This window comes from Homo sapiens, chromosome 20, assembly GCF_000001405.40.
Source record: "Homo sapiens chromosome 20, GRCh38.p14 Primary Assembly".
NCBI classification, from domain to species: Eukaryota; Metazoa; Chordata; class Mammalia; order Primates; family Hominidae; genus Homo; species Homo sapiens.
The window spans coordinates 33991401-34012669 of record NC_000020.11 but is presented as its reverse complement, the minus strand read 5'-3'; the positions used below and the strand labels follow the sequence as shown (position 1 = coordinate 34012669).

The following is a 21269-nucleotide window of genomic DNA, read 5'->3' as shown; positions in this document are numbered from 1 at the left end:
CTATTTTAGATGCCCTACTTTTTACTGCAAGTCCCCTTTAAAAACACAGAAAACAGGTTCAATCCCAAGCTCTGCGCACTGCAGTAGCATTACAAGAATTTCTCAAGAAGGGCAACAGTGAGGAAAAAAACAAAGGATGGCGGGTGGGGGAGGATGCAGAAGAAAGGGTAAGTAGGGCTCAAAAAGAAAGGAGGCGGAGGAAAGGAAAAAGAAGAGAAAGAGAAGAGGCAAGCAAGGCACAACGAGGGATAGATCTATCTCGGCCCTGAGGCTTCTTTTTGCTGAGCTGTCTTCTACATCTTTCTAGGCAAAAAAAATAAAATAAGGTCAATCTGATGCTAGTGACAGAAATAGACCCTTTGCACCAAGAAGAGGCTCAGCACATTACCACCTGCCACGGCAACCTTCCGCCACCTCATGATGATAGGGCTGCACCAAGAAGCCTTAGCCCAGCTCTCCCAACCACCTCAGGCTATGGCAGAAGCCACTGCCCCATGGCCCAAGAGTGTGTGAGGCAGGAAAACCAAACAAAGGTCAGGAGTTTGAAGCGGGGCCTGCCCAGGACCCATAGCTGCTTCTTTTCTTTTTCTTTTTTTTTTTTTTTGAGACAGGGTCTCACTCTGTCGCCCAGGCTGAAGTGCAGTGGCGCAAGCTCGGCTTACTGCAGCCTCCGCCTCCTGGGTTCAAACGATTCTCATGCCTAAGCCTCCCAAGTAGCTGGGACTACAGGCGTGCGCCACTACACCCGGCTAATTTTTATATTTTTGGTAGAGATGGGGTTTCATCATGTTGGCCAGGCTAGTCTTGAACTCCTGACCTCAAGCGATCTGCCTGCCTTGGCCTCCCAAAGTGCTGGGATTACAGGCATGAACCACCGTGTCTGGCCCCATGGCTGCTTCTTAAGGGTCCTACAAGAAAGCTCTGGTTTCTTCTCTGGACCTTAGTTTCATCTGCAAAACAAGGGGAGTCAACGAGAAGGGATATGGTAGCCTGTGAGTTATAGAAGCTGTTTCCTACAGAGGATGTTTAATGTGGGAATTTGTTCTAATCAAGTCTCTAGCTTTATTCTTTCCACTCCTGCTTATGGTTAGTTTCAAATCTGAAGGAGCCAGACTCAGAATAGGAGATATCCCTGACACCACCACCTATCTTGGCCCCATCCAAAGTCTAGTTACTGCTCAGACCTGTATTTTATCTCATAGGTCACAAGCAGATGTTTAGGCCCAAGGATATGTTTTTGTCTGATATGTAAAAATTTACTTAAAAACCTCTGAGTTAACTGCCAACATTCAAAATCAGATCTCACTTTTAAAAAAATTAGATTTCTAGCTGCTCTTAAAAATGTCAGAGGTCTGGCGATGCCAGACCCACCCTGGGGTAGAAGTCAAAGGGCCTGCTATAATCCTGTAACTTATTTGATGCTTTCTCACTTTATCTCAAGAATTCATGCTAATTTATCATTCATTCCATAAAAATATTTAAAGTTAAAAGCAAACTTTAAATTACCAGTTATAATATTTAATCCAACTCTGAAAAAATAAGTATACTGACACTTCAGGAAGATGTATGTTTTATCCTGTGATTTCATGTATCATCTACTATGCAGCCATGTGTTCCAGTTTGAGAACCCCCCCCCCACCCAGTTTATTCATTCACTCAAAAAATACTTAGATCCTATGCCAGGCTCTGGGAAAACACTCATCAACAAGACAGACATGGTTTCCGCCTTCATAGAGCTCACAGTTCAGCCGAGATATAATGAAAAAAGTCATGCAGAATAGGAGGCACAGAGAGATACTAAGCTGAGGATCCAGAGTTTATTCCACAAACACAGCAATCCCTTAGGCAAGTTGCTTAACCTCTCCAGACCTATAAGAGGAAGAGGTTTAATCAGGCAGTTGCTGCTGAAAGGTCCTTTCAGCTAAAAATTCTACTTAGCATCACAAGAACTTAGCTTACTACGCTTTTTGAGTTCCTAACACTTACTAGCTTCCTCTCTTTATCTGGAAAATCAGGATCAGTTGTCATGGAAATTACCACAGTACTCCACATACTGGATGATGTTTCAGTAATCACAAGAAGTCAAAGGGAACCAGCAGGTGACTTTCTGGGTGATTCTTTTGCCTACTTTCAGGCCTGGTGCAGTGGCTCAGGCCTGTAATCCCAGCACTTTGGGAGGCCAAGGCGGGAGGATGGCTTGAGCCCAGGAGTTCAAGACCCCAGCCTAGTTTGTAAAAGAGCAAGACCCTATCCCTACAAAATAAAAAAATAAAAACAACAGGACATGGTGGTGCGTGCCTGTAGTCCCAGCTACTCAGGAGACTGAGGTGGGAGAACCACCTGAGCCCGGGAGGTAGAGGGTGCAGTGAGCTGAGATTACGCCACTGCATTCCAGTTTGGGCAACAGAGTGCCACTGGAAGAAAAAAAGACCAGGTACCAACTCATAAGTAAAACGGTTTTGATTCTGAATTAATGTCCATGGTTTCCTTCATGACACATCAGACTCACTTCCACTCTACCTTACAAATATATAATAGGGATTGCAAAAAATGCCAACTTGACAAGGACATGATCCACTGAGCCTTGACTAGTTTGCTGTCCATATGAAGTCCTAAGATAGGCCGAGACAGATTTATCAGCCAATAAGGGCACCAAAAGTTCCCAGTAAAATGAAGATAATTCACTTAGTCGCAGGGGATTCACCAGCACCTTAACTAGGTAAAGTCTCTTCAATATTAGAGTTCCTTCTAGAGCTGGGCTGGACCTTGGTGGCAAGCAGGTAGCAAAAATGAATTGACCAAGTGTTTCCCAAAAAAAGTGCTATACTCTGGTGATAAACGGCAACTGACACTGGGCTTGAGTATCAAAGAAACAACAGGAAATGGTGTGGCTTTGACAAACTTGAGAACAAATATGCTGTCTAAAGAAGCCAGTCAATAAGGAAGCAGAATGTGGAAAAAAGTAGAGAAATGAAGAACATGAAGTTGTAAACTCAAAGCTTCTGCCAAATTTGGCCGAAGCTCCAAAGAGTTGCCCAAAGATCCAAGCCATGTCTCTTTGCTTCAGTTTACAAGCTTCTAAAGCATGGACTAGCCAGTGTACAAGGAGTCACAATATAACAACCCTGGTAGAGGCTGGGGCGTGGTGGCTCACACCTATAATCCTGGCACTTTGGGAGGCTGAAGCGGGCAGATCACAAGGTCAGGAGTTCGAGATCAGCCTGGCCAAATTGGTGAAACTCTGTCTCTACTAAAAATACAAAATTAGCCAGGCATGGTGGCGCGCACCTGTAGTCCCAGCTAGTTGGGAGACTGAGACAGGAGAATTACTTGAACCCGGGAGGCAGAGGTTGCAGTGAGCTGAGATCATGCCACTGACTCCAGCTTGGGTGACAGAGCGAGACTCCGTCTCAAAAACAAAACAAAACAAAAAAAAACCACACACACACCAAAACAAAACAAAACAAATCCCTGGTAGAGGACTCAAGGAGAAGACAGGCCTACCCCCACTCTTATAAATGGAAAAATTGCTCATGGTCAGCGTCAGGCTCTAGCCTCTGCTACTTTCTCAAAAATCTTCCTCCTTTTTCATGAGAAACCAGTCACCTTCATAGCCCCATGCCAGGACCTCTCATCTCACACATACATACTATCTCCACTGAAAGGCAGTCCTAATCTCCCCAGGCTTTTATTCCACTCAAAATAAAAATAGAGGCTAGGTGCAATGGCTCACACATAATCCCAACACTTTCGGAGGCCAAGGTAGCAGAACTGCTTGAGCCAGGAGTGTGAGACCAGCCTGGGTAACAAAGTAATAACTCATCTCTACAAAAAAATTTAAAAAACACTTGGGTGTAGTGGCATGTCTCTGTCATTCCAGCTACTCAGGAGACTGAGGCGTGAGGATAGCTTAAGCCTAAGAGTTTGAGGCTGCAGTGAGCTATGATTGTGCCACTGCACTCCAGCCTGGGTAACAGAGCAAGACCCTGTCTCAATTTAAAAAACAATGACACCACTACTGCAGGCCAAACAAAATATGTACACAGGCCAGATACAGCCCAAGGGGCTACCAGTATGTGACCTCTGATCTAGAGGATAAGACTGAACAGATCTGGAACAGAAAGGATTTAAGAGTGCCCCAAGGACTTCCCAATGAGGATGAAAGTTCAGCAGCTTGGTTCCCCTAAATGGAATACCTTTAAAATTCTGCTCCCTGAACATCACAACTAAAAGTTCCTTGTCTTTGCAAAAGAGCAAAATTACCCCCATTACAGTCAGATGCCGTTGGGAGTGAACAGTACAACGCTAAATATATGTTCTCCCCTGATGCAGGATGGCATTCCCCATGCTTCATTCCATCATTATTCTATGTTCCCCAGATTCCTTCAGCATCTCCATAAAAGCAATAACACCTTTGCCAAACACAAGAGAAAAAAAAGAGTAGCTGCCCTTGAAATAGTAACTCAATCCAAAGAAAAGTTTATTGCTGGAAGAACTTTTATTTACCAAAACTTCCATACTAGACTTACAGCAGGGAGAATACAACAAAAATGGTTTGTAGGAAAAGGTACCAGGCAACAGTGAATAGCATGGCACAGAAAACAGCAAGACAGGATGACAGGGAGGCAGGAAACTCTTAAGGGAGATTAAGGATCCCATAGTCCCACAATGACCTTGTCTGAAATAGCATATGGTCTTGCAGTCCCTGATTGACTATATGCTCCTTGAAGACAGTCTTACTCATATGGGTATTATCCACACCATCTAGTACCACACCATAACATGGTAGGCACTCAAATGGTCACAAAGAAGCTAAGGCCCAGGGAACTTTTTTTTTTTTTTTTTTTTTGAGACGGAGTTTCGCTCTTATTGCCCAGGCTGGAGTGCAATGGTGCGATCTTGGCTCACTGCAACCTCTGCCACCTGGGTTCAAGTGATTCTCCTGCCTCAGCTTCCCAAGTAGCTGAGATTATAGGCGCCCACCACCACGCCCAGCTAATTTTTTGTATTTTAGTAGAGATGGGGTTTCACCATATTGGTCAGGCTGGTCTCGAACTCCTGACCTCAGGTGATCCACCCTCCTTGGCCTCCCGAAGTGCTGGGATTATAGGCGTGAGCCACTGCACCTGGCTTTTGTTTTGTTTTTTTTGAGATGGAGTCTCGCTCCGTCACCAAGGCTGGAGTGCAGTGGCATGATCTTGGCTCACTGCAACCTCTGCCTCCCAGGTTCAAGCGATTCTCCTGCCTCAGCCTCCTGAGTAGCTGGGACTACAGGCGCCCGCCACCATGCCCAGCTAATTTTTTGTATTTTTAGTAGAGACGGACTTTCACCATGTTGGCCAGGATGGTCTTGATCTCTTGACCTCGTGATCCGCCTGCCTTGGCCTCCCAAAGTGCTGGGATTACAGGTGTGCCCGGCTGACCCAGAGAACTTAAAATGATTTGCCTAAGCTCACAGAGTGGTTTAGTGATGAAGGAACAAAAGCTTTGCAGACAAGTAGGCCTGTGTTCAAATCCAGGCGGGGCCTTGGACAAGCCACCCGACCTCTCTCAGTCTGTTTTCTTACCTACAAAATAAGAACAATACCTATTTTTGCAGGGTTGTCATGAGGGTTAAGAGAAATTGTCCTTAACCAACAACTTACAGAAAATACAGAGGACAAAGAGACACAGAAAACACACCATAGGAATGCAATGAGCAAAATCCAGAACATGGAAAAATCTATAGAAAAAAACATCCAGCTTCTTCAACAAATAATGGGGGGGATAACTACACTCATGCATCACTTAGCAACGGGGATACATTCTGAGAAATGCATCATTAGGCGATTTCATCCCTGTGCAAACACCAGTGTGCACTTACACAGTCCTGGGTGGTATAGCCTACTACACACCTAGACTATATAGCATAGGCTGTATAGTTGCTCCTAGGCTACAAACCTATACAGCATGTTACTGTGTTGAATACTGTAGGCAACTGTAACATAATGATAAGGATTTGTGCACCTAAATATACAATGGGTACAGTAAAAAAAAAATGGTATTACAATCATATTAGACCACTGTCATATCTGTGGCCCATCACTGGCTGAAACATCTCTATGCAGCATGTGACTGTAGGAGGGACCATACAAATTAAACGAGACTTGAAGACTTAAGAACCATGTGTGGACTTTATATGAATCCTGAATCAAACTATCAAAATAAGGTTGTGACATTTACAAAACAATCGAACATTTGAACACGATCATCTGGATTTTGATTTTACTGAGGAACTGTTACACTTTATAAAGATGGTAATGGCATTATAATTGTTTTTAGAAGTCATCTTTTAGAGACACACTGTGAAATATTTAAGGACAAAATATGATAGCTGAGATTTTCTTCAAAGCACAAAATGAAGAAAAGTAGGTAGGGGTATAAATGAAACAAGACTGACAATGAATTGCTAACTGTTGAAGCCAAGTGATGGGTAAATCATATTTCATTAACCTATTCGATTTTGTGTATGTTTGAAATTTTCCATATTAAAAATAAAGAGGAATTGGTTAGGTTTCAATCCTAGCCAACTCCATCTATCATATCAGCAGCGTGACCACGGCATATCTTTCTTTTGTTTGTTTATAGCATCTTTATTCATAATTGACAAAATTTGGAAGCAACCAATGACACCTTCAATAGGTGGATAAACTGTGGCACATCCAGACAATGAAATATTATTCAGCATTAAACAGAAATGAGCTATCAAAACATAAAAAGACATGGAAGAAACTTAAATGGATATTACTAAGTGAAAGAGGCAAATCTGAAAAGGCTACATACTGTATGATTCCAACTGTATGACGTTCTGCAAAGACGTATCTGTGAAGACTATAAAAAGACCAGTGGTTGCCCACGGCATATCTCTTAACCTCCCTTTGTCTCAGTTTCCAATCTGTATGATCACGATCAATACAACCTACTTCTTAGGGTTGAGGTGAGAATGAAATAATATTTTATATGTATAAAAGGCTTCGCACATAGTAACCTTCAGTAAATATTAGCTCTATTAGTATAAACAAAAGGTACCAAGTATGATATCTCAACACAGTGGACACTCAATATCACTAATATGCAAGGCTGTGTTAACATTTAAAACCCAGGTCAGATTTTTTTTTTTTTTGAGAAAGAGTCTCACTCTGTCACCAGGCTGGAGCGCAGTGGCACGATCTTGGCTCATTACAACCTCCAACTCCCTGGTTCAAGTGATTCTCCTGCTTCAGCCTCCCCAGTAGCTGGGATTACAGGCACGCGCCACCACGCCCAGCTAATTTTGCTATTTTTAGTAGAGACGGGGTTTCACTACTCCGTCAGGATGGTCTCGATCTCCTGACCTCATGATCTGCCTGCCTCAGCCTCCCAAAGTGTCAGGATTACAGGCCATGAGCCACTGCACCCAGCCCATCAGATTTTTAAATCAACTACTCGACTAGTCTCCTCGAGAGGGGGCCTAGAAATTCTCTAGTGAATGTCCCTAGTGGCATCTCTAGCACCCTGTCTATCTTGACAAACACCCCGCGACCTGACACAGGATCAGAAGCTGACTAATGTTTAACATGAAAATGCTGCTCTCTGGAAGGAGGCAGGGCCACCCTATTTTCCCCAACCAGGTAATTTAAGGTACATTTTCTAATATTTGCTGACAGAACAAAGAGGAAAGGCTCTAAGACATGATCAATGTTCATGCCAACCTTCAAAGTGATTTGGTAAAACTACACAAAATAAACACCCAGCTAGGGTCCACCGGCAGGATAAAAGCTGACAAAGAAATGGCAATTTTTCCCTGAGCAAATATACAACTAATAGATGAGCTCTGAGAGACTAAGTTCTTTAGGTTTTAGTATTCCCTCCCCAACCATTTTAAGAAGAAAAACTCTCTTTTGATATACTTCAGGTATGACTGTTTACTGGATTAATTTCTTTCTTGAAATGATGTAAGTATAAGCAAAGAGCTCATTCTCATCCTTTTATCCAGTTTAAATACAAATTGGCTTCATAACGACATGACCTTGTTCTGCTCTGAGAGGCTATGAGAAGGTATCACCCATCTCCAAAGTGTGGGACACTTCCACCACCTGCTCATTAGCAGGAATATGGATACTACTCGGTCTAGTCATTCATCTGTGCCTCTACTCAAGTTGTTCCCATTGCACAGAATGTTCTCCATCTCTGCAGCCTAATCACCTGTGACCATTCTTTCTGGAAAAGGGGGGAAGGGAAGCACATCGGTTGAGAAAAGATAACTGGGTGTTGCTTCTGCATAGTATGGGAGATAAGGTACAGACATGGCAATATTGATTGGTATTTCATAATCTGTAAGTACAACCAGACAGAATATTAGAAATTAAAATGGTCCTGGACAACAGATGGTCATTATCCTTATCCTACAAAGTCCAGCACAAATACTCACTGGTCCACAAATGTTCCTTGGGAACTCCCCCTCTGCCCCTCCTCCATGTACAAAGGAAGCAATCTCTTCCCCTTCTGAACTTCCCAATCATTGTACCCCTTTATGGTACTTGCTATGTGAGAATTCATAGTATGGTTCTTAAAATTCATATCTATAACTACTAACCAGAATGGCTTCAAATGAAAAAGATAGACAATGCCAAGTATTTACAACAACACAGAACAACAGCAATTTTCTCATCACTAACCATGTAACCTGGTAGACCTTTTAAAACTGTTTGGAGGCCGGGCACGGTGGCTCACGCCTGTAATCCCAGCACTTTGGGAGGCGGAGGCGGGCGGATCACGAGGTCAGGAGATCGAGACCATCCCGGCTAAAACGGTGAAACCCTGTCTCTACTAAAAATACAAAAAATTAGCCAGGCGTAGTGGCGGGCGCCTGTAGTCCCAGCTACTTGGGAGGCTGAGGCAGGAGAATGGCGTGAACCCGGGAGGCGGAGCTTGCAGTGAGCCGAGATCCCGCCACTGCACTCCAGCCTGGGCGACAGAGCGAGACTCCGTCTCAAAAAAAAAAAAAAAAAAAAAAACTGTTTGGCATATTTACCAAAGGTAAACATATGCCTAACCTAGGACTTACAGTATGAGGTTAGAGAACACTTACTCACTGTTCCCGCTGAACAGTTCACCTCCAGTCTTTTGCTCCATCATTGCCCCTGTCCAGATGCTTTCATCACACTTTTTCCCAATCCCAGAGACCAGCTGAGATCACTCTCCCTGCTCCCTACAAAGAGATCGATCTCCCCTCTTAAGGAAAATTCTGCCACTTACCTATTACCACTGACAAATGACTGATGGATTCTTCACATATAAATTGTCTCATGTGATTTTACAACGTTCTAATTTGCTCCTCACAATACCATTGTGAGGAAGGCAAGATATGGAGTGTTAACCCCACTTCACAGATGAGAAAATGGAACTTCAAAGAGAGAGAAGATGACATCTCCAGTTTACATGGCCTTATTATTCCAGACCCCACAGGCAATGCTAAATTGTTGGAAGAAATCGGGAGCACAACACAGCATCCCAAGTAATATTTCTCTCTGAAGGGTAGGAAAGAGGGAAGAGCCCTTCAAAACCAGGAGAGCCTCAATGTGCCCACCATTTCCATTTACTAGGGCTCCTTGCTGCAAAGTGTTCAAAGGCGGCTGGCAGTGGCAATGGGCTTCACGAACTACAATATAAACACAATTATCAAATCACAGACTGATCAAATGCCAGAAACCACACCTCAGATAATTCCACCTGCATACAAAATAGAGCTATTTTATTTCAAAATAGAGCATAATAAAACTTAAAATAATTCAACATGAAACTTAATTTTCTTCATTTCTACATAAGAAGCGAGACAATACCAAATCTTCCTGAAGCCAGCCAGAGAACTGTGTGGGTGTCCAGATGCAGATATCTGGACACCTAAACCTGAAAGGAAATGTTGTCCCCTACTCTAATATTCTTGACTTTACACACTGGGTGTTGGACACCTTAGCAACAGAGGATAAATATCTGTAAAAAACAGAAGGGAGAGAAGGGAATGCCAAAAAAATAAAGTCTACACACTGGAAGTCAGATTATCAAACTGGTCTCCTTGTCTACTGATACAGCCACCAATTATGTTATTTTCCGTTTGAACCCTCAATCCAAATATATGAGCCAGGGCGGCAGGCTGGATTTGCTTTACTTATCTGTCTTCCTCTCAAGACTGAAAGTAATTTGTGGACAGGAATTATGTCTTGTTGGTTTTTATGTTTTCCATAAGAAGAACATATAGGAGGTACTCCAAATTCCTGGAACGAATGGTTGAGATTAGGGATGGAAGGCTGTTGGGACTCCCAAGCATAAATAATCATGCCACGGCAACTAAGTAACTTCCTCTGAACCCTAATTTTAGTAAGGGTTGATTTTAATTGGTGTAAGAATCAATTAGGGTGAATCTTTAAAGTCTGAAGAGAAGTTATTCTTGTGCTCAACTGATTCACGCACAGCCCTCATTATTACTTTGGCAGCAGCACCATTCCTCAGTACCACCTTACAGGTATCCGCAAAAACAAAATTCCAAAGCCTTAAATTAATGCTTCAGGTAAAAAGGAAACGACGTGGTCAGGCGCGGCTGCTCACGCCTGTAATCCCAGCACTTTGAGAGGCCGAGGTGGGCAGATCACCAGGTCAGGAGATCGAGACCATCCTGGCGAACACTGTGAAACCCCGTCTCTACTAAAAATACAAAAAAATTAGCCGGGCGTGGTGGTGGGCACCTGCAGTCCCAGCTACTCAGGAGGCTGAGGCAGGAGAATGGCATGAACCCGGGAGGCAGAGCTTGCAGTGAGCGGAGATCATGCCACTGCACTCCAGCCTGAGCAACAGAGCGAGACTCCGTCTCAAAAAAAAAGGAAACAACATTCGATTTCTCAGTATAGTGTGGTCATATCTCTTACCAAAAAAACCCAAATCTAGATAAATGAAGTTATGGAAATGACCCTTTTAAATCTACTGCTGGGCTTGCTTTCACTAACACAAAGAATTTCAAAGGAAACTAGACAAATAGATCAAGAGACACCATGTAAGCAGTACCGTTAACTAAGCTTATTAAAATCCTTAATAAAATAAACAGGAGACAGCTAAATACCAGATAAATGCCTCTGGAATGAAGAAAATCTGGCCAATAACATTAAGCTTCCAAACCTGGCATTCTAAAAGAGAATATTTACTTGGAATAAAGCAATGAGTCTTACCTTGACAAATAACAGAGCTATTCAGTCTCTACAGATGGCACTTCAAGGGCCAGGTAACCTCAGTAGAGGCATCTACTCCATAAGCTAAAGCTCTTAGGAAATGCAAGTTTCTGGTCTAGTGTTTTTCCATTATTACCATTGTGTGAAAATCTTAAAATGTTTTTTATTTTTCCTTTATTATGTGATTTTAAACAGTTTGCTACATATTTTAATGTAATTTTTTTATAGTCTTGGACTCCAAGTTTGTCCCATGAGGCTACAGCTCCAAGTTTATAATGGAACTCAGCATACAATTTGATAAATTCATCTCACAAGCAATTTTTCAGCAATCTGTCCACTCTAAAAAGCAATATCCATCTGTTTATATACTGAAAGGTATCTTTTGTGAACCCAGAATTTAACCCTCTGAGATACTCTCAATACTTTAGCAAAGCCCTTTCTCCTTCCAGAGATAAATTCTCAAGCCACTTCCACAAAACTGTAAAAAGGTAGAAATATCACTCAAGATTATCTAGTCCAATTCCCTTGTTTCACAGACAGGAAGACAGAGATCCCACAGAATATTAGATAATTACAATTAACATGGGTTTGGCAAGCAACAAAAGCCCACTGACTGCTATTTTCCCCAGTCAAACTCATTGGTGTGTTGGGAAGATAGCCAGATTTGCACTTTAGTTAGTAGAGCACTCCCTAGGAAACTCAAGTATGTACCCTCTAAGAAACCCAAGTATTCAGCCACAACCCCCTACCCCAACCCCAGAATAGAGAACAGGGGGCAGTGGATGTCTTAAATGGCTCTTCTGGAGATGGAGACTAGAGCCCAGGGACAATATCCCATCTTTCCTTCCTTCCTCCCAGGAGGTACAGGACATTGATTACCATGAAAGCCATTATGAAATGACAGAAGACACTAACACTGAGGAAATAAGGCAAGGCTGTGGAAACAAAAGATGACCAACATTAATACTTGGCCAGATACCTGCTTCTACTTATTCGTTCGAAGAGAGGGGAGAAGTGAGAGAGACAGGGACCTCCAACCCTTTTTCTGTCCCTACCTCCCCACCCCCACTCTTTGGGCCTTTATAGAATTTCAGGGACCCCCCCAGATGATTTTATGAGGAAACAGGGCTATAAAAAGAAAGGACCTTAGTCCAGCCCACACACTGACCAAACGATGCTCAGGCTAGTGACAAGACTTCCTATTTATTCCACTGCACTCTGTCTCTATTCCTAAGGGTCTGTGAGCTGCACCCTGAGCACAATTTCCTTACAGTACCCAGGGGGAAGTTGTAGGACAAGCAGGTTAACATTACGGCTGTCATTTTCTCCCTTCCAGCTATATAGACATGAAGCCAAAATTGAATAAGACCAAGACACTCAAGTGAAAACCTTGCTATCTCCACCCCTACTATATCCCCTCACCAATGCCAAACTAAGAAGGGGGAGAAGAAGAAAGAAATACCTCTCCTAGAGATATATTATCTAAACCACCACCTAGAATCATAAAATGTAATTGCTAGAAGGGACCTTATGGGTCATCTAGTCATTATTCAGATGAATAAACCTAGACACGTGCCACCCGAGAAAAAGACTGGAGCACACAGTGGGGTCTCCTGACTCCTATCCCTAATAGAAACCCTTCCGGGTCCCTCTCCATCCTGTCCTACCCTGCCCTGCCCCATCCACCCTCTCCCCAGGCCACCGCTGTATCCAAGCTACTGAGACTTCTGCCCTTCTGGATCATGAGCTCCTTAGGATACGTTTTACTTATCTTTGTTTTCCCAGTGCCTAGCAGAGAGTAAGCAGAGAAGTGGCTTCGGCTTAGAGAGGGACTTAGGAATACACTAGTACACGAAAAGACCAGTGCCAAAGGATGTAGCCTGGATAAAATGTAAACTTTTCTTGGCTTAACGTAAGCAGTTTCCAGGCTGTGCCACACCCGGATGTCTAGGATTGAATATCTCCTCTCTTCCTAAACTAATGTTTGCATCATCCAGTTTAGCCAGGAACATGACCAGTTGTGCCATACTCTCACTCTCTCCCTTTCAGACCTGACACAAAGAACTAGAATCCATAACCAGAGGTAAGTGAAAGCATATGTAAGGAGACCCTGCATAAGAAACCCTACCCCCTCCCTTACGTGCTCCTTCTTCTCCTGTGTCCTCACCTCAATAAACAGCACCCATTTACAAAACTGCACCAGGTAGAAACCAGATGTCATCCCGATTCCTTCCTTACCCTCCACACCAATAATCTTTGTCTCATCACTCAATTCCACCTTTTTTCTTTCCTTTTTTTTTTTTTTTTTTGAGATGGAGTCTCACACCCAGGCTGGAGTGCAGTGGTTCGATCTCAGCTCACTGCAACCTCCACCTCCCAGGTTCAAGTGATTCTCCTGCCTTAGCCTCCCACATAGCTGGGATTACAGGTGCCTGCCACCACACCCGACTAATTTTTTTTTTATTTTTAGTAGAGACGGGGTTTCACCACGTTGGCCAGGCTAGTCTCAAACTCCTGACCTCAGGTGATCCACCCACCTCAGCCTCCCAAAGTGCTAGGACTACAAACGTGAGCCACCACGCCCAGCAATTCCATCTTTTTTCTGCACACACTCTTGCACACGCTCTCCCACAACCTTCATTTGAAACACCATCACCTCTTGCCAACCTCCTAACTGGTCTCTCTGCCCACAGTGTTCTAGCTCTCCAGTCCGCTCCTGAACAGGCAGCCAGAGATATCCTTCCAAAATGCACATTGAATCATGGCCCCCTCACCTCCGGATGAAGTCCAAACTCCTCAACACAGGCAAGAAGGCCCTTTCCTGACTTGGCCTCTGCTCTGCCTACCTTGAAAGTCTCCTGTCTGGCCATATCCACCCACCTCAAGCATTATGCTCCACCCAAGAATCCTGAGAAATTTGTTTAGCTCTCTTGGCCCGTTTCCTTCAACTACAGAATGGGAATAGTAACAGTACGTACTTTCGGGATGGTCTTAACCTATTATCACCATTTCTGAACTTACTGTTCCTTCTACCTAGAACAGTCTTATCTCTGCCTCTTCCCTGACTCCCCAGATCTCTTCTTTTCCTGGCTTATGTCTGTTCTCTTGAGGGCTAGGCTTAACCAACTTCTCCTCCTAAAAAGCCTTCCCTGACCTTCCAATGCTGGGTTAGGCATCATTTTTCTGTGCTCTCCTGGTGTCTGTCCCTGTGACAACACTTCTCACACTGCCTGTTTCCTTGCCTATCTTTCCCACTACGCTATACAAACCCAAATCCCTAAGCGTAGCACCAGGTCTAACAGAGGCTCATTAATTCTTCAGTGAATGAAAAACTTTCCAAAAATGAGGTATCCAAAGAAAGACAATCTCAACAAGTAACCAACTCAAATGTCAGCCAGGTGGCTGGTCTAAATGACTGTAAGGTCCCTCAACTACAAGATTCTATTCAATAAATTCAACACACTGACCTCATGGGTCATATTTGTTTGAACTTTAATATGCAGGCAATGTTGGGGCCATCAGATTTTTAAGGAGAGTGTGACATGACCAGACACATGATCATGTGTTTGTTACCCTATTAACCATCTCTGAGACACTGCCTCTCCCAACCCCCAGTTGTTATCAGGACAATATTCCAACCATCTTCATAAACATGAAGAGCCCACTCCCCTAAATGGACCAACACAGAAAACGGTCAAAGGGCATTTTGAAAGGCTATATGCAGCATCTAACTCCATCTTAACCAACTGCAAGCAGTGAGTATCCATAAACATCCTCCAAGAACCCAAAAGCTAATCCCTCCTGTGTGCCTCTATGGAAAAAGGGGGAAGAAAGAGGGAACATTTCATAAAGGTGATCTACTTAATCATTCTGAGTAGTTTTGATCCAAGCTGCTGTCACTGCACTGTTATTCCTGATAACTGCAGCCCAATATCCCCAAACCCTGGACTGTCAGAAGGGCAGGTGCAAACAAGGTGAGGGTGGGGAGTTATCTCGGTTCTATTTTAAGGGTGTAATAGCCTGGCGTGGTGGCTCATGCCTGTAATCCCAGCACTTTGGAAGGCCAAGACAGGAGGATCACCTGAGGTTCAGGAGTTCGAAGCCAGCCTGGCCAACGTGGTGAAACCCTATCTGTACTAAAAATACAAAAATTACCCAGGCGTGATGGTGCATGCCTGTAGTCCCAGCTACTCGGGAGGCTGAGGCAAGAGATCCCTTGAACCCAGGAGGTTGAGGTTGCAGGGAGCCAAGATCGTGCCACCGCAATCCAGCCTGGGCGACGGAGTGAGACTCCGTCTCCAAAAAAAACAGGGTATAAGGTCTCTTCTGCAGATACTGGGGGGCCAGCAGAGATTCAAAACAGGCTTCAGTGATACAGAACATCAACCTAAGGGGGAGAAAAGTAGGTCTTACTCAGAGAGGCCTGGGTTCCTGCCCTGGAGCTGCATGCCACATCTCTGCTGCAGGTGAGGACTAATAATTTTGCATTTACAATGCACTCTGAGACTAAAGAAGACACTAAGTGTGCCAGCTTTGCAGGCACAAAAGGACAAATATTGCATGATTCCACTTACATGAGGTTCCTAGAGTAGTCAAATTCACAGAAAGTAGAACGATAGTTTTCAGGGGCTGGAGGGAGGAGGGAAGGGGGAGTTAGTTTAATGGGTACAGAATTTCAGTTGGGGAAGATAATGGACAGTGATGATGGTTGCATAACCATGCGAATGTATTTAATGTCACATAAATGTACACTTTGAAACGGTTAAATGGTAAATTTTATGTTATATATATTTTACCACAATTTTTTTTTTAAAAAAAGCATGCCAGCTTTAAGGTTATACTGTCTGCAGTCTGAATACTGCCATGGCCACTTACCAGTTACATGACCCTGAGGCAGGTAATGTAACCTCTCTAAGCCTGTTTCTTCTATAAAACAGGGATAATAATAGTACTTAATTCATAGGTTGCTCTAAGAATTAGTAATATAGTCCATAAAGTCCTCAGTCCATTGACTGGTGGTACACGTTAAGTACTTAATAAATTTAGCTATTATTACTACCACTATAAAGCACTTTCATAGCCATTTTCTTAACAATCCCCACAACAACCCTATGAGTTTACAGATAAGGAAACTGAGGCTCAGAGAGCCACAATGAGTGGCTCAGTTTATGATGTCAAATCAAATCCTCTGCTCCAGAGAGGTGTCTTGTCCTCACTACTTACTCATTCTGTCATCTAAGGCAAGTGCTATGCTGTGTCTCCATTCCCTCACAGTAAAAAAAGAGACATAAACCAAGCTCTGCAAACTACCTCACAGAAATGGATTAGAAATTAAATCAGATAATGGTTATGGAAGAGTATATAAGCCATAAACACATAAAACCGAAGTGGTGACTTACGAGAACTAGTACACCTGTGCTTAAACCTGGCCTCCTCTTAATACTAACCATAAGGCACAGAAAGGGGTGGGGACTATAAAACTTCCTTGGGATTTCCAATTACTCAGGATTCCTGACCTTAAGACCTGAATAAGTGGTTTCGTGCCCTTTTAAGAAGTGGCAAGGTATGGGAGAAATAAAAATATTACTGGATTAGGAGGAAGAAGACTGGAAATTTTAGTTCTCACTCTGACACTAAGGCAGTCTGAATTCAGACAACTTACTTCCCCTTTCCAAGGTTCAGTTAACAGGGAAGCGGGGAAAGGCAGATATGAAAAAGTTGGACCAGATGGTAAGACCCCTTTCAGCTCCCACATAGGACTCGTAAATCCAGAATCCTGGCCAGGCACCACAGACGTACCAGACTCCAAAGAACTAATGTGAACATCAAGAGACTCCTCAAGACCTGGCCCAGAAACTCCCTTGCCTGATTTTTAGACACTCCCTCCAACCGGATCACATTGAAAAACTGGAACATTTGCCAAAGTTAATTTTAGTTCACTTTAACCACTCTGGGCCTTATCTGAAAATAGGAGTAATATTTGTTTGAAGGCAGATGACTTGAGCTACTCCCCCTAACCCCCATCAAACTAGGATCGATAAATCTAAACACAGAGAACCTGCAAGGTCTGGGAGGAGGAACACACCACACACAAACTAAAGGGTGGATCCCACCGTTTACAGTCTCAAAGCTTCCTTGAGCCAAAACCCCAGGGAATTTGAGTTGTGTCTGAGACCTGGAGTCTGCATCCATCAACTTCTAACTGCCGCAACACTAGCAAGGAATTCATCCAAACCTTTCCCTTTAGAACTATGGTAACCCCAGAATGGGATTTCATCCACAGTATAGTGGACAACGGCCCAGAAGTCAGGGAAAACCCAGAGTTATGCCCCTAATTAAATGGTGTGACCCAAGGCTAGGTAAAAATACCCTCTGCACTAAGAGATGATACATGCTCACACCAGGAAATATTAATAAATAATAGGTACTGGCACCACTCCTTTGCACTTCTGTGGCTACTGTGACTTGGAGAAAATTACTTGACCCCTCTGCGCCTTAATTTCTGCTTTTGTAAATGAGGATAAACCAGAAGGCCGTTGTGAACATTAAATGAAATAAGGCTTGGGAAGTTCCTGGGTGAAGTCTCATTAAATGTTCCCTGTCGGTGTTAAACACTTCTTTCACATATTAGTTCCCTCCCTGAATCCACGAACACCCCGCAAAGCGAGTTTCCTTCTTTCCCCCCATGTCACCGAGAGGCAAACTAAGACTCGGCCGCCAAGGAGGCTGAGTGAAACGCGGATACGGCCCCAGTTCGAGGGCCCGTTGTTGTTTCTCTCCGAGCCCAAGGCGTGCAAAGAGCCCAGAAGAGGCGGGAGCCGAGGCAGGACAAGCTCTGCGCGCCTCCGGGAGCCCGTAGACCCAGTCCGGGTTAGGAGAGCCGGAAGCAGCCGCGGCCGGGCCCGCCTGCGGCCTCCCCGGAGCAGCCTCCGTTCCCCTCCCTCCGCCCCTCGCCGGGCGGGGCGGGGCACGAGCACAAAAGACTCCAACTTCCGAGCGGGCGCGGGCCCACCCAGCCAACTACTGGCCCAGACTTGGCCCGCGGAGAGAGCAGACAGGGAACGCCGGGAGCAGGACCGGGCGCGGAGGGCTGGGGCCGGGGACCCGGGGCGGCGGGTCCGAGTGGGAGAAAGGAGCGGCGGAGGGGGCCTAGAGTTACTCGGGCTCCCGGGACTCCCCGAAGGGCAGAAATAAGTTTCTAAAAATAGGCAGCGGCCTGCCGGAAGAAGTGAGTGAACGGAAAGGCACAAAGCACACACCCTCCCCGCACCCCTAAGGAGACGCCCGCAGTCCCCACTCACCCGCGCCGAGAGGTCTGGAGGAAGCCGCGCGGCTGGGAAGGAGGCGGTACTGCCGCACTCGGGGACGTAAGGGAGGGAGGAAAAGGGCGGCTGCGGCGGGAAGAGGCTGGGCACACGCGCGGGAGTCGTCGTCGTCGCCGTCGCCGCCGCTACCGCCCCCTCAGCTTCTCTGGGTTCCGCTGCCCCGAGCTGGCGCCGCTCGCGCGCCCCGCCGCACTGACAGCGGCGCGAGCCCCGCAACCGCGAGCCCTGCCCTCGGCCGGCACCACTGAGGCGCGCGGGGGTGGGGGCACCCGGAGCGGCTCCCCGCAGCTCGGCTCCGCCCGCCGCTCCGGCCCTGGTTCCGGGCTCTCCTCCTTCTCTGTCTCCTGGGAAGGACACGGTGACACGAGCACGAGGAGTCTGCAGCCCCGCCCAGAAACAGCCCGGCTTCCCAGGCGCATGGGCTCTCCCCACCCTCTCAGCCTGGCTTTGGAAAGGTCCAGAGCTTCGGCGGGGACGGGAGGAAGGCGGGGCCAGGGTGGGGCCTGAAAGGGAGGAGGGACTGAGACGCGGCTTGGGGAGGCGGGGCTGGGGCGGGAAGAGGGCAGCTTGCACAGGTTTGGAGCCGAAGTAGGGGCGGAGCTAAGATGGTGATGAGGCCCTGGGAAGAGGGTCGCCGGACCAGTGGGGAAGGCCGTGCAGGAGATGGAGAGCCGGGAACCAGGACAGCGCTTGAAAGGAGATGCTGTGGGCGGGGCTAAATGGAGAATCGCCCAGAGGGCGGAGCCACGGGTGGAGGGAGGCGGGGCTGAAGAGAAGCTTAGAGTGGGAGGAAGATGGAAGCGGGCCTGAAGGAGGCGGGCCCGGAAGCAGGGAGGGGAGGAGGGGCCCCGGGGGTGGCTACTCTGGGCGGGTGCCGGAAGGAGGCGTGCCCCAAGGAAGGACTGAGGGGTGGTGCTTGAGGTGGGCGGGGCCTGGAGATGGCGCTCAAATCTGCAGGCTGTGGGCGGTGCAGGAGGGATCCGGAAGAGACGAGGCAGGAAGAAACTCCTGGTCCTTTCGCTTTTAAGGAACGTGCCACCTAGACAAGGTGAGGGTCGCTCTTCGCTGCCTAATCTGGGACTGGGCGGAGAGGCCGCGCTAAGGGTGATCTCCGAAAAAGATGCAGGAGATGTTTTATAACTTGATCCAGGTGCTAGTCCTCTCTCCTACACATTTCTCCTGTCGGGATTTCTCACTTTCAGTGTTCCAGCCTCCGGTGAACCAGTCTTCCTAGTGAGAGCACGAGAAGCCCGTTGTCCTTCATTCCTCAGCTATGGATTTCCCTGAAAGTTGAGAACTGACCATATTCTCGATGCCTCCTCCGACCTGTGATTTCATGACTCACATCGCTTCCCCAGAACCTGCTTAACAGACGGGATTCCTGAGAATGGAGCAGAGTTTGAATTCAGAGTCCTGGCTTTGCCATACCAGCAGTTATAATTGTCCTTCTGTTGTTTGATGACCTCCCTGCCCTGCTTCAAAAGGAAGAGAAATCAAAGAGTTGACGACCCTGAGCGCAAGGCCTGGGACGTTCTTCCCCAAACTCGCTTTAATATCACCTTCTCAAAAGAACTCTTCCCTGAACACCTTGTCTCAAGATGTTCTCTAGTTTGTCTTCTTGTTCTGTCATTTATTTGTCTGTTCATTGTTTGTGTGTTTTTTGAGGCGGAGTCTAGCTCTGTCGCCTAGGCTGGAGTGCAGTGGCACGATCTCGGCTCTCTGCAACCTCTGCCTCCTGGGTTCAAAGCGATTCTTGTACCTCAGCCTCCCAAGTAGCTGGGATTACAGGCGTGTACCACCATGCCCGGCTAATTTTTGTATTTTCAGTGGATACGGGGTTTCATCATGTTGGCCAAGCTGGGCTCTAACTCCTGACCTCAGGGGATCTGCATTTGAGGATAAACCCTGTCTTGGCTCCTCCCTGACGGGGGTGAGAAGTAGCCCTCCTGGAATTGCCTCAAAGCCCCCGGTTATCACCAGTGTTCTCGGTTGCAAATTACGAAACATAAATAAACTCAGACTAACAGATGCAGCAAAGGAATTTATCAGGAAGGAATGGGGAGCTCCCAGAACTGATGGGAAGGCTGGAGAACCAGGCTCAGAAAATGCACTGAAGTGGTGAGCGCAGAGGCTTGAATGTTGCCAGGACTCTCCTCCCAGTCCTTTATCTCTTCTCTCTGTATGCGAGCTTTTCTCCTCAAGGCTAGGCACCTGGCTGCAGCAGCGCTCACCACTCACAACTCTCACCCGTTCCACCGGAGAGAGACTGAGGATTTCTGCTTCTGGTCTGAAGGACAAAATTTTAGGGAAAAACTTTGATTGGTCCAACATAGGTAAGTCCCCGTCCCTAGACCAATCATCTATGGGTGGAAAACCAGGTGCTGTGACTGGCCCAACTTAAGCCAGGTGCCATTCTCTAACCAATACTGTGAATAAGGAAGTGGGACGTACAGGGAGATGGCAGCCCCATCGGAACCATATGGTCAGAGAAAGATGCATTTCCCAAAAGATGGAGTTCATGCTCTGGGGCAGATTGAATAATAGATTTTCACTACACCTGCCCCAGAGTTACCCCCAACCAATACATTACTTACTGCCCAACTCTCATCATTCCTTCTCTGCTCAAAACCCTTCAATGGGCTGGGCGCGGTAACTCACGCCTGTAATCCCAGTACTTTGGGAGACCGAGGTGGGGGGGATTACTTGA

The 21269-nt window shown here is 46.0% G+C and overlaps 1 protein-coding gene and 1 long non-coding RNA gene across 9 annotated transcripts in view, besides 11 other annotated features; one reads left to right on the top strand and one right to left on the bottom strand.

The window, feature by feature from the left end:
• RALY (RALY heterogeneous nuclear ribonucleoprotein) overlaps positions 1-18759 on the bottom strand; it is a 90974-nt gene extending 72215 nt beyond the window's left edge. For all 7 annotated transcript variants that reach the window (XM_011528695.4, NM_016732.3, NM_007367.4 and 4 more), the window contains exon 1: positions 18539-18759. The gene's annotated coding sequence lies outside the window, so the exon portion shown is untranslated. The remainder of the gene's footprint in view (positions 1-18538) is intronic.
• Positions 1659-2336: an enhancer, noted in NCBI's record as "OCT4-NANOG hESC enhancer chr20:32598140-32598817 (GRCh37/hg19 assembly coordinates)". NCBI's record gives its function as "activates a minimal SCP1, AML or CMV promoter by ChIP-STARR-seq in naive H9 embryonic stem cells {active_cell/tissue: H9 hESC(naive)}" and the evidence as "EXISTENCE:reporter gene assay evidence [ECO:0000049][PMID:30033119]".
• Positions 1913-2207: a silencer, noted in NCBI's record as "tiled region #607; HepG2 Repressive non-DNase unmatched - State 25:Art". NCBI's record gives its function as "represses a minimal TATA promoter and a strong SV40 promoter by Sharpr-MPRA in HepG2 cells {active_cell/tissue: HepG2}" and the evidence as "EXISTENCE:reporter gene assay evidence [ECO:0000049][PMID:27701403]".
• Positions 13379-13879: an enhancer, noted in NCBI's record as "H3K4me1 hESC enhancer chr20:32586597-32587097 (GRCh37/hg19 assembly coordinates)". NCBI's record gives its function as "activates a minimal SCP1, AML or CMV promoter by ChIP-STARR-seq in naive H9 embryonic stem cells {active_cell/tissue: H9 hESC(naive)}" and the evidence as "EXISTENCE:reporter gene assay evidence [ECO:0000049][PMID:30033119]".
• Positions 18039-18368: a silencer, noted in NCBI's record as "silent region_12831". NCBI's record gives its function as "represses an Ori minimal core promoter by ATAC-STARR-seq in GM12878 lymphoblastoid cells {active_cell/tissue: GM12878}" and the evidence as "EXISTENCE:reporter gene assay evidence [ECO:0000049][PMID:35858748]".
• Positions 18303-20182, top strand: RALY-AS1 (RALY antisense RNA 1). Of its 2 annotated transcripts, NR_109885.1 has the most exons (3): positions 18303-18465; positions 19520-19610; positions 19765-20182. It is a non-coding gene; the product is annotated as an RALY antisense RNA 1 (long non-coding RNA). The 2 variants fall into 2 exon arrangements; NR_109886.1 differs by lacking the exon at positions 19520-19610.
• Positions 18589-18638: a silencer, noted in NCBI's record as "silent region_12830". NCBI's record gives its function as "represses an Ori minimal core promoter by ATAC-STARR-seq in GM12878 lymphoblastoid cells {active_cell/tissue: GM12878}" and the evidence as "EXISTENCE:reporter gene assay evidence [ECO:0000049][PMID:35858748]".
• Positions 18699-18828: a silencer, noted in NCBI's record as "silent region_12829". NCBI's record gives its function as "represses an Ori minimal core promoter by ATAC-STARR-seq in GM12878 lymphoblastoid cells {active_cell/tissue: GM12878}" and the evidence as "EXISTENCE:reporter gene assay evidence [ECO:0000049][PMID:35858748]".
• Positions 19009-19118: a silencer, noted in NCBI's record as "silent region_12828". NCBI's record gives its function as "represses an Ori minimal core promoter by ATAC-STARR-seq in GM12878 lymphoblastoid cells {active_cell/tissue: GM12878}" and the evidence as "EXISTENCE:reporter gene assay evidence [ECO:0000049][PMID:35858748]".
• Positions 19289-19538: a silencer, noted in NCBI's record as "silent region_12827". NCBI's record gives its function as "represses an Ori minimal core promoter by ATAC-STARR-seq in GM12878 lymphoblastoid cells {active_cell/tissue: GM12878}" and the evidence as "EXISTENCE:reporter gene assay evidence [ECO:0000049][PMID:35858748]".
• Positions 19289-19858: a biological region, named in NCBI's record as "H3K27ac hESC enhancer GRCh37_chr20:32580634-32581160".
• Positions 19316-19842: an enhancer, noted in NCBI's record as "H3K27ac hESC enhancer chr20:32580634-32581160 (GRCh37/hg19 assembly coordinates)". NCBI's record gives its function as "activates a minimal SCP1, AML or CMV promoter by ChIP-STARR-seq in naive H9 embryonic stem cells {active_cell/tissue: H9 hESC(naive)}" and the evidence as "EXISTENCE:reporter gene assay evidence [ECO:0000049][PMID:30033119]".
• Positions 19779-19858: an enhancer, noted in NCBI's record as "active region_17753". NCBI's record gives its function as "activates an Ori minimal core promoter by ATAC-STARR-seq in GM12878 lymphoblastoid cells {active_cell/tissue: GM12878}" and the evidence as "EXISTENCE:reporter gene assay evidence [ECO:0000049][PMID:35858748]".
• Positions 20183-21269: the final 1087 nt, after the last annotated feature.